Source organism: Homo sapiens, chromosome 8 (assembly GCF_000001405.40).
Source record: "Homo sapiens chromosome 8, GRCh38.p14 Primary Assembly".
Taxonomy (NCBI): domain Eukaryota; kingdom Metazoa; phylum Chordata; class Mammalia; order Primates; family Hominidae; genus Homo; species Homo sapiens.
Genome location: NC_000008.11, coordinates 43,306,525 through 43,319,200, shown reverse-complemented (window position 1 = coordinate 43,319,200; position 12,676 = coordinate 43,306,525). Strand labels below are relative to the sequence as shown.

Below are 12,676 nucleotides of genomic sequence, written 5' to 3'. Positions count from 1 at the left end.
CCTTTTCAGTGAGTCCATTTCCTCTGCAGCAACACAGATGGAGCTGGAGGTCATTATCCTAAGCAAACTAATGCAGGAACAGAAAATCAAATGCCACATATTCTCACTCATTTGTCAGAACCAAACAATGAGAACTCATGGACACAAAGAGGAGAACAACAGACAACTGCGGCCTACTTGAGGGTGGAGCATGGCAGGAGGGAGAGGACCAAAAAACTACCTATTGGGTATCATTCTTATTATCTGACTGATGAAATAATCTGTAACCCCAATCTCCATGATACAGTTTACCTATGTAACAAACCTGCACGTGTACCCCTGAAGCTAAAATAAAAGTTCACTAAAAAGAAAAGAAAATGCTTTTTCCCTCACATTTGCCAACACTGGTTATTTTTCAAATAAATTAATGACTGGAAAAAATATAACTCATTGTTTGCTGATTTTCATTCTTCTGATTACCAGGCAAGGCTGAATATCCTAGGAAAAGTATAAAATTTTTTCATCATGAATATTAGTCCAAATTCGGATTAGTTTGATAGCACATAGTTATCTCCTGTTAAATGTTGCCATAGGCTTACCTGTGATACTCTTCAATCTCTGTGTTAGGAAATTGCTGATTTTCATGCTTTCTGCTCTTTCTTTGTGGAACTAATCCACCATCACCATTGCCAGCAGCAGCACCATCAGTCAGGTTTTCTGATAATCCCACATTATTACTTCCATGCTTCTGCATTTCTTCTTCAACCTTGAGTGGAAGTTTGATATTAAGGACAGTTATTGCTTTATTGAATAAAAAGTACCTTTTTGTTTTAATTGATTTTATCATTTGACTCAGTTTGTCATAATTTGTCATTAAAAATATTTCACACTTAAATTTGATCATATATACAGAACTGTTACCATATAATTTTAAGATGTAATTATTACATCATTAGTATATCATTAAAATTTTTGTAAAGTTTGCTTTATTTCTCTTTGAATGAATAGAACAATTTTCCAAAATTTCAAAATTTCCAAAATTTCAAAATTTCATTTTGTGCTTTTATTCCCAACCACTCTTCAGAATCTAATATAAATATTCACCCCATTTGACTTGTGGGAACACACAAATAAAAACACAAAGATGCAAAATGTGTCTTCTTCCATCTTTACAACCTGGATTTTCCATTAAGCAGTCAGATTTAGAGGATGAGACACTGTCGGGCTCCAGGAATAGAAAGGAAGATTTCCCTTTCCTGCACTAAAATATTCTTCTCCCCCACTGCCTGTGATCATTGCTTTTTCATATGGTTGCTGGGATATCAAAAACATGAAAGTGCTCACTGAAACATGGGAACCAAAGTTTCCCACAACACAAAAAGCAGAATAAAACTGCTGAGGTGCTAGCATGGAATTCCAGTAAATGAGACGCTCCCCAAATTTCACATTCAGTGGCCATAAAACTTTCTAGCTAGAGGATATACAGAATAACAAATTATCTTCTTTAGCCATATTATCTATTGATAATCAGACTAATACCAAGAAAGATAAAATGATTGATCCAAAGCTCCTAAAGTAGCATTACGTAGCATTTTTGGCACCATTCAGGATTATTCCATAATAATGAAGAATATTTCTAGGGTTTGTCTCTCTTTAAAACTTAATGTACACAACTCAGCTTTCTGAGTTACATACTAAATTTTTCACTGATGATTTATGCTACTTACATGATAGAATCATACATGCCTAAACTTATTATACTTTGTTAAACAACATAATGTAAAAATCTAATTCAACGGAAACATTTGAATATAAAGGTATACCTCTCTATCGCAATCCTTATTTATGTCTGGTTCTTGAGTCACTTTCTGCAGATGCAATTATAGAAGGTTAATTTGCTTGTTGTGTTTCTCAGATGTCTGCTCTTTTGGAGTACATGTTTTTAAAATAATTTTATTCTTAAGTAATCAAGTATGGACAATAAAAAATTAGAAAATAATTAAAATTAAAATTTACCTGTTAAAATAATTAAAGAAATAATAATTAAATAACTAAAATGAAGAATTAACATTTTATTCTATGTTTAGCTACTGCCACATCACTGGCTTCTGACTAAAACATAAAAAAATTCACCTTAGCCAAAGAAAGAAGAAAAACATGAACTGGAAAACTTAACTTTGTCACCTTTTGTTTGGATTAAACTTAATTCATTATGTGTTAAATCTACCAAAATGAATTAGCAGGTAATTTGTAGGGTTTTTCTCACTTGAAAAGATTTTACTTCACCATACCTTAAGTAGTGAGCCCCTACAGTGCATTTAGGTGGTTTTTTAAAAGATTACTAACTGGAGTGTAGGCACACTTTAAATTATTAGGAGCCAAAATCAACACCAAACAGAAAGAAATGCAAATTGTTACATTTTAATTGAAATTATGTACTATAATACGATCATGTTATGTATCTAGACTATCGGCTTAAGTCCAGTTCTAATATATTCTAATGTGTACTAATGACAGAGGATAAAAATTTTTAAATAATATGTACTGATGTTCTGCAACTGAAATGTTAAAATGTTACTGTGTTTGTACACTAACAACAAAGGTCTCATTCTGCAAGATATGATTATTGTAATAGGCAGTTGGGTTGCTTTTAAGACCTGGTTCTCTCCCTGAACAGAAACCCTGAGGTCAGTGAGAGACCACAGGTAGAATTCATCTTTAACCTTGGCATCACTGACTGGCAATATAAAACCGCAGATTTTCAATCACTGGCCATGATTACTCCTTTGCCATGAATCCAGCTCAGGGACCATCACTGCTACATTGTTCATAATTTCAATTGCTTGATAATATGATCCAATAATTGATGTTACTTTCTTTATCATGTAAGGATGTTGTAAAAATAAAAGAACAAATAAAGTTCTGGATTTGTTTTGCCTCTATTCCAAAGGGAAAGATTAGCTATAAGCCAATCAAGAAGGCAGATAAGAATATTTTAAATAAGAATATTTTAAATTTTATAGTGGGTTATAATCTTTAAGTTAAATATCAAATATTAAATTAGATTCTATTGATTCTTCTGTTAATAAGGTCACTAAATCTATTAAAATAAACTTTAAGAATCTATTAAAAAATTATTTTAAAAAATTTATTGATTATCAAAGCCTAGTCTGAAAGGTAATTTCATTTGGACTATCTACTATTATCAAAGCAAAGAAAAGAACATTAAACCAGAAATTTAAATTTAAAATTTTACATGCCTCATGCTGACTATTTTCACTTCCTTTAAGCCTTTGTGGCTCTTCCTCTGATGTCAGCTTTAAGTCTTGTTCTGAAGTGAAATCCATATATTTGGTTAAAATGAACCACTTAGAACAATTTAAAACTATTGTTTTTATAAAAATAGATTTAAGACATTTCATTTCATAAATTGAGCGCTTAAATGAAGCTTAATCTTTCATGAAATAGTTACTTAAGTAATAATTCTCCAAAACTTCAACAAACCACTTGGGGAGATACCAGAGTCCACCAGATTGAGGACATACAAACATGTCAAACATTCACTCACAAATTCATCCACCCAACGTAAATGAACAAAACCACCAGGAACACAATATTAAAATACGGCAGAAACATATAAGGTAACACAGTATACTGTTCTCCACTTCCTAATAGTGCCTTGTAAATGATTTCCAAAATCACTGCTGACACCTTTATTAGTGTACAATGTCTTCCTAATATTTAAATGTTTCCCTCCACTATTCTGACAATTTTTTTCATCTTTTAAAACAATGCTATGTGAAGTCTTCCTTGATTCTGCATGTCTTTCCCCAGATAAACAGGTACCTCCTTCCTTGAGGCTGCCTTAATACTTTACTTATTTTTCTACTGCATCTTTACCATCTCAAATGTACGTTATTGCTCCACATGTCTGTCCCCTCGGCTCCAAGACTGTAGGGGACAGTCTTGCATATCACCTTTGTATAAACATTCTTTATTTTACTCAGCAATTTTTTACTGAGTCCTGCTACATACATAGTAGGCATTAGGATTTAAAAAGAATGAAAATAAAGCATGTCAGGGATGGTTTTCTAGAAATCATGGCCAAGCAGAGACTTAAATATTGAGGCTAGCCAGATTACAAGGGGTAGAGGGCAGGAAAGGTTGGCAGTATGCCAGGAAGCAGCAAGAGAGGGAGTAAGGTGTGAAAGAGTGAATGTATTTGCCTACAAGAGAAGGATGAGTGAGTAGGGCATTGCAGGCAGTTCAGTAATGCCAGAGAAAGGGCACATGGGGAAAAGGGCTAAAGATGGAGAGTGAGGCAGAATTCTGATTATGAAAGCATTCTGTGTAATTTTAAGATGCTTGGACATTAATGTTCAAGAGTGGTCCCTGGTCCTATCTGCATTAAATACAGATCACTTTAAATGCCAAAACCAATATTCCTGGTGAACCATTATTCATTAACACAAGGTGATAGGTAGCTCATGTGGACACAGCTGAGATGATACTATGCAGCAAATGCTCAATAATTCTTATGAACAGTTGGAAATTCAATTCTATAATAAAGTCATCTAAATTATAAGAAATCACATAAAATTTGGTTTGGGAAGGTGCTTTCTAAAGTTATAGTGCATATAAATATAACTAATAGTTGTGAATTCAGAGCTGTGAAAATAAAGCAAAGAAACCACATTGTGTTTGAGTCAGCAATCTTTAGATTTCTATCCAGTTTTCCTATCTAGTCCCTAAATCCTAAATATAATACTGGCACTCACTCTCAAGTTTATGTTAAATACTAGCCTATACACACAAAAAAAAGTTCTTTCTCTTACTTCTTTTTGTTATTTATATGTTGCTTTGGTCAAAGAACACAAAAATGCCTTGCTAAAAAGGATTCTGTTTGGTTGCAGTTTGCAAGAGGGGAAGAAACACAAAGTATATTTTGCCAAAAAGTGATTTTTTAGAAGTCAGAACTATAACACGAAGCCAAGCAGAGGCACTCTAGGACTGAATTTGCTGTGCTTCTTTAATATGTTCCTTGGCCTCTTTGTTTTCTGGCAGCTGTGACTCACACAAGTCATGGAGAGTATCATTCTCTAAGAGAAACACAACTCCAATTCATCTTTATCTATTAAGTTCATCTCTCCCAATTCTGTGGATGCTGACTTTCAGTCATTGATGGTGATACACATGGAAATTTATCATCAACTTTCAGATTCTTGGATCTTTGACAAGTCTTATTACTGAGAGTCAAACTAGTAGGATGCCAGCTATAAATGCTGATATTCAATGATCTATTCAAAAATCCTATATGAATATCCCATTAAACATGCACAGAAAAATAATTAGTCATTCCTCTTGAGCTGCTCTTCTTTGCTCTTCTGTATTCACCAGAAAATTTCCTACTCCTTCCTCATGTTCAGGTTAAATAATACTGTACAACCTGGAAACCTGTGAATCATCTGGGATTTCTCTCTGTCCCCTAAATTTTCTCATTCAACAGTCACTAAATCATATTGACTATACCTCTCTTCTGCTTCCATTTTATATTCCCACTGCCACTGGGAACATAAACATTTACAAAGTGGCTTTTATTTTTTTAAAAAACCCAGCTGTTAATGTTATTTCTTACATGAAAAAAAATTAAAACAAAACAAATGAAAAAGGCATAACACCAAAAAAAGGCCAACATTTTAAAATGAATAACTGAGATTCCTAACTTTATTTATTTCACGATGGATGGGTGAAAACCTTATAATAAATTGATACTAGTCCAAGGACATGTGACAAGGAAACTGTAGCTGACTACAGCAAATCTTCCTTTGTCTCCTGGTTTCTTTACATGGTTACCTTCCATCAATCCTCTATGAGGGGTCAGAAAACTATAGGCCACAGGCCAAATCCAGTCTCCCTTATGGTTTTCTAAATAACATTTTATTGAACTCCGGTCTACAGCACCCAGCGTGAGCAACGCAGAAGATGGGTGATTTCTGCATTTCCATCTGAGGTACTGGGTTCATCTCACTTGGAAGTGCCAGACAGTGGGCGCAGGTCAGTGGGTGCGTGCACCGTGTGTGAGCCAAAGCGGGGTGAGGCATTGCCTCACTTGGGAAGCACAAGGGGTCAGGGAGTTCCTTTTCTGAGTCAAAGAAAGGGGTGACGGACGCACCTGGAAAATCGGGTCACTCCCACCCGAATACTGCGCTTTTCTGACCTGCTTAAAAAACGGCGCACCACGAGATTATATCCCGCACCTGGCTCAGAGGGTCCTACGCCCACAGAGTCTCGCTGATTGCTAGCACAGCAGTGTGAGATCAAACTGCAAGGCGGCAGCAAGGCTGGGCAACGGGCGCCCGCCATTGCCCAGGCTTGCTTAGCTAAACAAAGCAGCCAGGAAGCTTGAACTCGGTGGAGCCCACCACAGCTCAAGGAGGCCTGCCTGCCTCTATAGGCTCCACCTCTGGGGGCAGGGCACAGACAAACAAAAAGACAGCAGTAACCTCTGCAGACTTAAATGTCCCTGTCTGACAGCTTTGAAGAGAGCAGTGGTTCTCCCAGCACGTAGCTGGAGATCTGAGAACGGGCAGACTGCCTCCTCAAGTGGGTCCCTGACCCCTGACCCCGAGCAGCCTAACTAGGAGGCACCCCCCAGCAGGGGCACACTGACATCTCACACGGCAGGGTATTCCAACAGACCTGCAGCTGAGGGTCCTGTCTGTTAGAAGGAAAACTAACAAACAGAAAGGACATCCACACCAAAAACCCATCTGTACGTCACCATCATCAAAGACCAAAAGTAGATAAAACCACAAAGATGGGGAAAAAAACAGAACAGAAAAACTGGAAACTCTAAAAAGCAGAGCATCTCTCCTCCTCCAAAGGAACGCAGTTCCTCACCAGCAACGGAACAAAGCTGGATGGAGAATGACTTTGACAAGCTGAGAGAAGAAGGCTTCAGACGATCAAATTACTCTGAGCTGCAGGAGGACATTCAAACCAAAGGCAAAGAAGTTGAAAACTTCGAAAAAAATTTAGAAGAATGTATAATTAGAATAACCAATACAGAGAAGTGCTTAAAGGAGGTGATGGAGCTGAAAACCAAGGCTCGAGAACTACGTGAAGAATGCAGAAGCCTCAGGGGCCGATGTGATCAACTGGAAGAAAGGGTATCAATGATGGAAAATGAAATGAATGAAATGAAGCGAGAAGGGAAGTTTAGAGAAAAAAGAATAAAAAGAAATGAGCAAAGCCTCCAAGAAATATGGGACTATGTGAAAAGACCAAATCTACGTCTGATTGGTGTACCTGAAACTGACGGGGAGAATGGAACCAAGTTGGAAAACACTCTGCAGGATATTACCCAGGAGAACTTTCCCCATCTAGCAAGGCAGGCCAACTTTCAGATTCAGGAAATACAGAAAATGCCACAAAGATACTCCTCGAGAAGAGCAACTCCAAGACACATAATTGTGAGATTCACCAAAGTTGAAATGAAGGAAAAAATGTTAAGGGCAGCCAGAGAGAAAGGTCGGATTACCCTCAAAGGGAAGCCCATCAGACTAACAGCGGATCTCTCAGCAGAAACTCTACAAGCCAGAAGAGAGTGGGGGCCAATATTCAACATTCTTCAAGAAAAGAATTTTCAACCCAGAATTTCATATCCAGCCAAACTAAGCTTCATAAGCAAAGGAGAAATAAAATACTTTACAGACAAGCAAATGCTGAGAGATTTTGTCACCACCAGGCCTGCCCTAAAAGAGCTCCTGAAGGAAGTGCTAAACATGGAAAGGAACAACGGGTACCAGCCGCTGAAAAATCATGCCAAAATGTAAAGACCATCGAGACTAGGAAGAAATTGCATGAACTAACGAGCAAAATAACCAGCTAACATCATAATGACAGGATCAAATTCACACATAACAATATTAACTTTAAATGTAAATGGACTAAATGGTCCAATTAAAAGACACAGACTGGCAAATTGGATAAAGAGTCGAGTGTGTGCTGTATTCGGGAAAACCATCTCACATGCAGAGACACACATAGGCTCAAAATAAAAGGATGGAGGAAGATCTACCAAGCAAATGGAAAATAAAAAAAGGCAGGGGTTGTGATCCTAGTCTCTGATAAAACAGACTTTAAACCAACAAAGATCAAAAGAGACAAAGAAGGCCATTACATAATGGTAAAGGGATCAATTCAACAGGAAGAGCTAACTATCCTAAATATATATGCACCCAATACAGGAGCACCCAGATTCATAAAGCAAGTTCTGAGTGACCTACAAAGAAACTTAGACTCCCACACATTAATAATGGGAGACTTTAACACCCCACTGTCAACATTAGACAGATCAATGAGACAGAAAGTTAACAAGGATACCCAGGAATTGAACTCAGCTCTGCACCAAGCAGACCTAATAGACATCTACAGAACTCTCCACCCTAAATCAACAGAATATACATTTTCTTCAGCACCACACCACACCTATTCCAAAATTGACCACCTACTTGGAAGTAAAGCTCTCCTCAGCAAATGTAAAAGAACAGAAATTATAACAAACTATCTCTCAGACCACAGTGCAATCAAACTAGAACTCAGGATTAAGAATCTCACTCTAAACCGCTCAACTACATGGAAACTGAACAACCTGCTCCTGAATGACTACTGGGTACATAACTAAATGAAGGCAGAAATAAAGATGTTCTTTGAAACCAACGAGAACAAAGACACAACATACCAGAATCTCCGGGATGCATTCAAAGCAGTGTGTAGAGGGAAATTTATAGCACTAAATGCCCACAAGAGAAAGCAGGAAAGATTGAAAATTGACACCCTAACATCACAATTAAAAGAACTAGAAAAGCAAGAGCAAACACATTCAAAAACTAGCAGAAGGCAAGAAATAACTAAAATCAGAGCAGAACTGAAGGAAATAGAGACACAAAAAACCCTTCAAAAAATTAATGAACCCAGGAGCTGGTTTTTTTGAAAGGATCAACAAAATTGATAGACTGCTAGCAAGACTAATAAAGAAAAAAAGAGAGAAGAATCAAATAGATGCAATAAAAAATGATAAAGGGGATATCACCACCGGTCCCACAGAAATACAAACTACCATCAGAGAATACTACAAACACCTCTACGCAAATAAACTAGAAAATCTAGAAGAAATGGATAAATTCCTCGACACATACACTCTCCCAAGACTAAACCAGGAAGAAGTTGAATCTCTGAATAGACCAATAACAGGAGCTGAAATTGTGGCAATAATCAATAGCTTACCAACCAAAAAGAGTCCAGGACCAGATGGATTCACAGCCGAATTCTACCAGAGGTACAAGGAGGAACTGGTACCATTCCTTCTGAAACTATTCCAATCAACAGAAAAAGAGGGAATCCTCCATAACTCATTTTATGAGGCCAGCATCATTCTGATACCAAAGCCGGGCAGAGACACAACAAAAAAGGAGAATTTTAGACCAATATCCTTGATGAACACTGATGCAAAAATCCTCAATAAAATACTGGCAAAACGAATCCAGCAGAACATCAAAAAGCTTATCCACCATGATCAAGTGGGCTTCATCCCTGGGATGCAAGGCTGGTTCAATATACGCAAATGAATAAATGTAATCCAGCATATAAACAGAACCAAAGACAAAAACCACATCATTATCTCAATAGATGCAGAAAAAGCCTTTGACAAAGTTCAACAACCTTCATGCTAAAAACTCTCAATAAATTAGGTATTGATGGGATGTATTTCAAAATAATAAGAGCTATCTATGACAAACCCACAGCCAATATCATACTGAATGGGCAAAAACTGGAAGCATTCCCTTTGAAAACTGGCACAAGACAGGGATGCCCTCTTTCACCACTTCTATTCAACATAGTGTTGGAAGTTCTGGCCAGGGCAATTAGGCAGGAGAAGGAAATAAAGGGTATTCAATTAGGAAAAGAGGAAATCAAATTGTCCCTGTTTGCAGACGACATGATTGTATATCTAGAAAACCCCATCGTCTCAGCCCAAAATCTCCTTAAGCTGATAAGCAACTCCAGCAAAGTCTCAGGATGCAAAATCAATGTACAAAAACCACAAGCATTCTTATACACCAACAACAGACAAACAGAGAGCCAAATCATCAGTGAACTCCCATTCACAATTGCTTCAAAGAGAATAAAATACCTAGGAATCCAACTTACAAGGGATGTGAAGGACCTCTTCCAGGAGAACTACAAACCACTGCTCAAGGAAATAAAAGAGGATACAAACAAATGGAAGAACATTCCATGCTCATGGGTAGGAAGAATCAATATCGTGAAAATGGCCATACTGCCCAAGGTAATTTACAGATTCAATGCCATCCCCATCAAGCTGCCAATGACTTTCTTCACAGAATTGGAAAAAACTACTTTAAAGTTCATATGGAACCAAAAAAGAGCCCACATCGCCAAGTCAATCCTAAGCCAAAAGAACAAAGCTGGAGGCATCACACTACCTGACTTCAAACTATACTACAAGGCTACAGTAACCAAAACAGCATGGTACTGGTAGTAAAACAGAGATATAGATCAATGGAACAGAACAGAGCCCTCAGAAATAACACCGCATATCTACAACTATCTGATCTTTGACAAACCTGACAAAAACAAGCAATGGGGAAAGGATTCCCTATTTAATAAATGGTGCTGTGAAAACTGGCTAGCCATATGGAGAAAGCTGAAACTGGGTCCCTTCCTTACACATTATACAAAAATCAATTCAAGATGGATTAAAGACTTAAAGGTTAGACCTAAAACCATAAAAACCCTAGAAGAAAACCTAGGCATTACCATTCAGGACATAGGCATGGGCAAGGACTTCATGTCTAAAACACCAAAAGCAATGGCAACAAAAGACAAAATTGACAAATGGGATCTAATTAAACTAAAGAGCTTCTGCACAGCAAAAGAAACTACCATCAGATTGAACAGGCAACCTACAAAATGGGAGAAAATTTTCACAACCTACTCATCTGACAAAGGGCTAATATCCAGAATCTACAATGAACTCAAACAAATTTACAAGAAAAAAACAAACAACCTCATCAAAAAGTGGGCAAAGGAGATGAAAAGACGCTTCTCAGAAGAAAACATTTATGCAGCCAAAAAACACATGAAAAAGTGCTCATCATCACTGGCCATCAGAGAAATGCAAATCAAAACCACAATGAGATACCATCTCACACCAGTTAGAATGGCAATCATTAAAAAGTCAGGAAACAACAGGTGCTGGAGAGGATGTGGAGAAATAGGAACACTTTTACACTGTTGGTGGGACTGTAAACTAGTTCAACCATTGTGGAAGTCAGTGTGGCGATTCCTCAGGGATCTAGAACTAGAAATACCATTTGACCCAGCCATCCCATTACTGGGTATGTACCCAAAGGACTATAAATCATGCTGCTATAAAGACACATTCACACGTATGTTTATCGAGGCATTATTCACAATAGCAAAGACTTGGAACCAACCCAAATATCCAACAATGATAGACTGGATTAAGAAAATGTGGCACATATACACCATGGAATACTATGCAGCCATAAATAATGATGAGTTCATGTCCTTTGTAGGGACATGGATGAAATTGGAAATCATCATTCTCAGTAAACTATCACAAGAACAAAAAACCAAACACCACATATTCTCACTCATAGGTGGGAATTGAACAATGAGATCACATGGACACAGGAAGGGGAATATCACACTCTGGGAACTGTTGTGGGGTGGGAGGAGTGGGGAGTGATAGCATTGGGAGATATACATAATACTAGATGACGAGTTAGTGGGTGCAGCTCACCAGCATGGCACATGTATACATATGTAACTAACCTGCACAATGTGCACATGTACCCTAAAACTTAAAGTATAATAATAAAAAAAGACCAGAAACAGTTTCTGTGTGGTTATGTAAGATGTTATGCCTAAAAATCCTATTAAAAATGCCAAAAGTGAAAAAAAAAATAACATTTTATTGGAGCTCACTCATTCCTATTTGCTTACATATTATCCATAGTTGCTCTCACACAACAGCAGGGTTAAGTAGATATGACAGAGACCACATAGTCTAAAACATTCCCCACCTGGTCATTTACAGAAAAAGCTTGCCAACCCCTGTTTTACAACATTACCAAAAGGCCTTAATACTCTAATTTAATCTTGTGACTCCCCTGCTCAAATTTCTCCAATGAGTCCCTGCAGCAAACATTGCTGGCTCCCTTATTCTTTCTTATTCCTTATTCTTTCTTGCAGAAGAAACACAAGTCTTCTGAGACAGTATTCCAATCCCCCTCCTCAGCTTCAGAAAGAGAAATGATTATTCTAAGCTAATCACATACTTACATTTGCTCTTCCAGTGCCTGGTTTAGGGATAAGCATATGTTGTGACCTAGCCAATAATATGTTACAGGAAGTCCACTGCATGCTTCTAAGGTTTCTCCCTATTTAAAAGACATGTGTGAAGAAAAGCAGCCCTTGTGATGTTGTGTTGTGAGAACAAGATGTTTGGAACTGTTGTGGATTAGCCAACCATGAAAGGAGACATGAAGCACAGCTGAAAGAGGGACAAGGGGAACCTAGTATATCACTGAACAACCAAAACAACTCTGGTTCCTACTGTTTTAGCCACTGCTCATCTAGTATTTGC

General features: G+C 37.6%; 1 protein-coding gene across 4 annotated transcripts in view; it reads right to left on the bottom strand.

Moving 5' to 3' along the window:
- The window catches only part of POTEA (POTE ankyrin domain family member A (gene/pseudogene)), a 72,806-nt gene that overhangs the window by 45,975 nt on the left and 14,155 nt on the right, over nucleotides 1–12,676 (bottom strand). For 3 of the 4 annotated variants that reach the window (XM_024447146.1, NM_001005365.2, NM_001002920.1), the window contains 3 exons: nucleotides 3,240–3,310; nucleotides 1,803–1,847; nucleotides 579–745 (listed from right to left, as the gene is read on the bottom strand). In XM_024447146.1, coding sequence (XP_024302914.1) covers nucleotides 579–745; nucleotides 1,803–1,847; nucleotides 3,240–3,310 — 283 coding nt within the window. Of the gene's footprint in view, nucleotides 1–578; nucleotides 746–1,802; nucleotides 1,848–3,239; nucleotides 3,311–12,676 lie in introns of those variants that run through there. The other variant, XM_047421756.1, reaches the window with a different exon arrangement.